This window comes from Homo sapiens, chromosome 1 (genome assembly GCF_000001405.40).
Source record: "Homo sapiens chromosome 1, GRCh38.p14 Primary Assembly".
Lineage (NCBI taxonomy): Eukaryota > Metazoa > Chordata > Mammalia > Primates > Hominidae > Homo > Homo sapiens.
The window spans coordinates 175889620-175893795 of NC_000001.11; positions in this window are offsets into that span (position 1 = coordinate 175889620).

A 4176-nucleotide genomic window follows, 5' to 3' on the forward strand; every position below is an offset into this window, starting at 1 on the left:
CTTAAAGGCATGATTTAGAGGCTCCAGGATGGGTCATTGGTTTTAATCCCTGGCTCCTGTCTTCCCCTTCACTTTGGCAGGCTGTAGGCTACCAGATCAGAAGGCAATGCCTTGAAGAAACCCTCCCAGCAGGGTTGCCAGAGTAAATATAGAACACCTGGTTAAATTTGAATTTCAGTGATAAATTTTTCAAGTTTATATCCCAAATACTGTACTGAATGGGAAATATCTATACCAAAGAAAGTATCTGCTATTTATCTGAAATTAAAATGTAACTGGGCTCCCTGTAGTTTTCTTTGCTACACCTGTCAACCTTACCTCCCTGGGGCATCCAGTCCTAATCTATGTTTCCCAGGAAGCCACCCAGGCTGCATTTTCCAAATTCTGTAGAGAGTGTTTACACATGTACAGCAGTGGCTGTGGCTCAGAGAGGATAACAAATGCTCCAAACCACAGAGGGCTTGTGCACAGAGTACAATCACAGCTAACACCTGGTACTTTCCAGGTCTTCAGATGGGCCAGGCGCTGACCTGTTTTACCCATATTCATTCATTTAATGTTTGCAATAACCCCATAAGGTCAATGCTATTACCATCCCCGCTTCAGAGATAAGGGACCCAAGGCATAGAGAATTAAGATCACACAGCTAGGCCGGGCACGGTGGCTCATGCCTGTAATCTCAATACTTTGGGAGGCTGAGGCGGGCAGATCACGAGTTCAGGAGATCAAGACCACCCTGGCCAACATGGTGAAACCCTGTCTTTACTAAAAATACAAAAATTAGCTGGGTATGATGGCGTACCCCTGTAGTCCCAGCTACTCAGGAGATTGAGGCAGGAGAATCACTTGAACCCGGGAGGTGGAGGGTGCAGTGAGCCAACATCAAGCCACTGAACTCCAGCCTGGTGACAGAGCAAGACTCAGTCTAAAAAAAAAAAAAAAGAAAAAAAAAATCACACAGCTAAAAAGGGCAAAGCCAGGCAGATCTGGGACATGAAGGCCACTCCTTAGCTTGCATACAGCCTTTATTTGTTTATTTATTTATTTATTTTGAGATGGAGTCTTGCTCTGTCGCCCAGGCTGGAGTGCAGTGGCACGATCTCAGCTCACAGCAAGCTCCGCCTCCTGGGTTCACGCCATTCTCCTGCCTCAGCCTCCCGAGTAGCTGGCACTACAGGCGCCCGCCACCATGCCTGGCTAATTTTTTTGTAGGTTTAGTAGAGACAGGGTTTCACCGTGTTAGACAGGATGGTCTCGATCTCCTGACCTTGTGATCCGCCCGCCTCGGCCTCCCAAAGTGCTGGTATTATAGGCGTGAGCCACTGCGCCCGGCCGCATACAGCCTTTATTTTTTTTAATAAGAACAGGCCTTGGACCTCCACTGAGGAGAAGATGGCACGAGGGCATGTGTTGGTATGGAGCTGCAGACAGGCTGTCCCATCAGGCCATTTTCCCTCTCAGCATCATGTGACACCACTGAATTGTGTATTCGTTCATACAAACACAGCTACATTTACATTAAAGTTGTGATGGCGCATTGGGCAGCTGCTGGCCCTGTCTGTCACAGGGAATGTGCATCCTGCGGCTCCACGGAGAAACCGGGATGTCACTTCTAGAACAAGTCCAGCTCCTGTGCTGGGATTCCTCCTCACACTCCTCAGGGCCCCTCTGTAAGGTTCACTCCCCTTCCGACACATTACACATTTTATTTGTAAGGATGTCTTTACAGCTTATCTCTTTCAATAAAAAGCAAGTCCTAAAGCAAGGAGCATACCTTCTATTTGACAAACTTTTTTTTTGGAGCATTTACTATGTACCAAGGCACAATGCTAGGCTATAAAAGGCTTGTCCCTATCCACGTGGAACTGACAACTTAGTGGTGGCCAGGGTGGGTGGGGAGAGACAATCAAAGAAACCAGCAGAACACACACAGTGGGTTCTAACAGGAGCACTGGGTACAGAGAGGAGGTGTGCAGCATGGACGTGAGGTAGGGGGAGCAGGCAGAGGGCCATGGTCCAGGACAGCTTTCCAGAAGGCAGGAGGGGAAGGACCTGCTGGATGGACATGTGTGATCCACGCTGGGACCTATGAGCTGCAGGGAGGAAGCAGAGACACAGCGGCAGGCAGCACTTTCAAGATGTTTTAGGAATGTTGCTGTGGTCTACATATCTCCCTCCAAGGAGTTCAAGAAAAGACAGTAACGAACTTGAGTCTTTTTGAAATGACACATTGGTTGTTAAACAGCGCACTGCTCAGAAACTGGACCATGAGCGTCCCGATGTTGCTTCATAAGCCACACATCTTTTGCCACCCACTCTGTTCCAGGTGCTGATGACACCAAGCTGGATGAGACACAGTCCCTGCCCACCTTACGCTCCACCTCTCACACCCCCAGCTCATCCAGCTTCCACCTTCAACTCCTTGCCTCACACGGAGGCTGGAGGAATTGCCCGAGGGGTGGGTGGTCACACGGTGTAGCAGGAGAGGGGATGATACTAGGAGGGGAAGCAGGGGAGGGGATGACAAGGACCCATGCCAACGGCAGCTCTGTCTCCTCCATTTCTACAACACTGTAGTGTTTGTTCACCTCAAGCCATCATCATTCTCCACGGAGGACTTGACAAGGCTGATTGCCACTGCTGGGCAGAGACAGAAGACCCAACTCAGAAGAAAAAGAGCTATCTGAGTCCCTAGTCTCCTGAGTGACCCAGCTGGGTAGAGCGTGACCCTCTCTATGCCCAGCTTCCAGGGGGTCCCGCAGTGTTTTCTTGGTTTCACTCCTTATGAGGCCAGCTGAAATGGTTTGGCTCTGTGTCCCCATTCAAATCTGATGTTGAATTGTAATCCCCATATGTCAGGGGAGGGGCCTGGTGGGAGATGATTGGATCATGGGGGCGGATTTCCCCCTTGCTGTTCTCATGATAGTGAGTGTGTTCTCATGAGATCTGATGGTTTAAAAGTGTGTGGCACTACCCTCCTCTCTCTCTTTCCTGCTCTGCCATGCTAAGACGTACTTGCTTCCTCTTTGCCTTTTGCCATGACTGTAAGTTTCCTGAGGCTTCGCAGTCATGCTTCCTGTTAGGTCCGAGGAATTTTGAATCAATTAAGTCTCTTTTCTTCATAAATTACCCAGTCTCAGGTAGTTCTTCATAGCAGTGTGAGAACGGACTAATACACCAGCACAGCTGGATTGCAATGTAGTCTGGTGATAGGACCATGGGCACTCTGCCCACCTATTCCCTAAACCCCACAGTGACAGTCGTCCAGGAAATTCAGCACACTCACCATCCTGCCCTGTTTCCTGACTTAGAGTCCTAGTCTCCAGTTAGAAACCATGTCTAGCAGTTGGGATCTGAGTCACTCAGGAACCTGCGCTTTATCCAGCAGATCCGAACCCAGGTCCCTATAGGTAAGCATGGCTGTGGGAGTGCTCCCCTCCTGTATCCCAGGGGTCTATATGTATTCATAATAGTGCTTTTGGCTGCAAATAATGCAAAGCATACTATAAAGATCTAAACAAATCAAGATTTATTTTTCTAACTTAACAGGAAGTCGAGGTGGGCGATTACTGCTGCTGCTGATCCAGTGGCTCTGTGCAGTTAGGACTGAAACCTCTGGGGTTCTTTTGATCATTTCCTCGTGATTTTAGGATGGCTGCTGAAGCAGTAAATGTCAAATTTTTAATCACAGCAGGAAAAACAGGGAAAGTGTACCCATGAAAAGGAAGCCTAGCATGACTAACTCCAGTTTGCTGCTATTTCCCCATCCCCCAGGCGGAGTGATATCTTTTGGGCTAACTGCTTTGCTTATCTGCACATAGGCCAAGCTAACTGTGGGAAGAATTTAGCTTATAGTTTACCTTTAAAGCAAGGATAATAGTCCCTTCCCCAGCTAACCTTCAAGGAGATACGGAGGGTGTATGCACAAGTATGTTAAAGATTGAGACAGGGTCTTTCTCACTCTGTCTCCCAGGCTGGAGTGCAGTGGCAAACTCACGGCTCACTACAGCCTTGACCTCCTGGGCTCAAGTTATCCTCCTACCTCAGCCTTCCAAGTAGCTGGAACTACAGGCATGCATCACCTTGCCTGACAAATTTTTTGTTCTTATTTTTATTTTTGTAGATACTAGGTCTCACTTTGTTACCCTGGCTGGTCTTGAATCCCTGGGCTTAAAA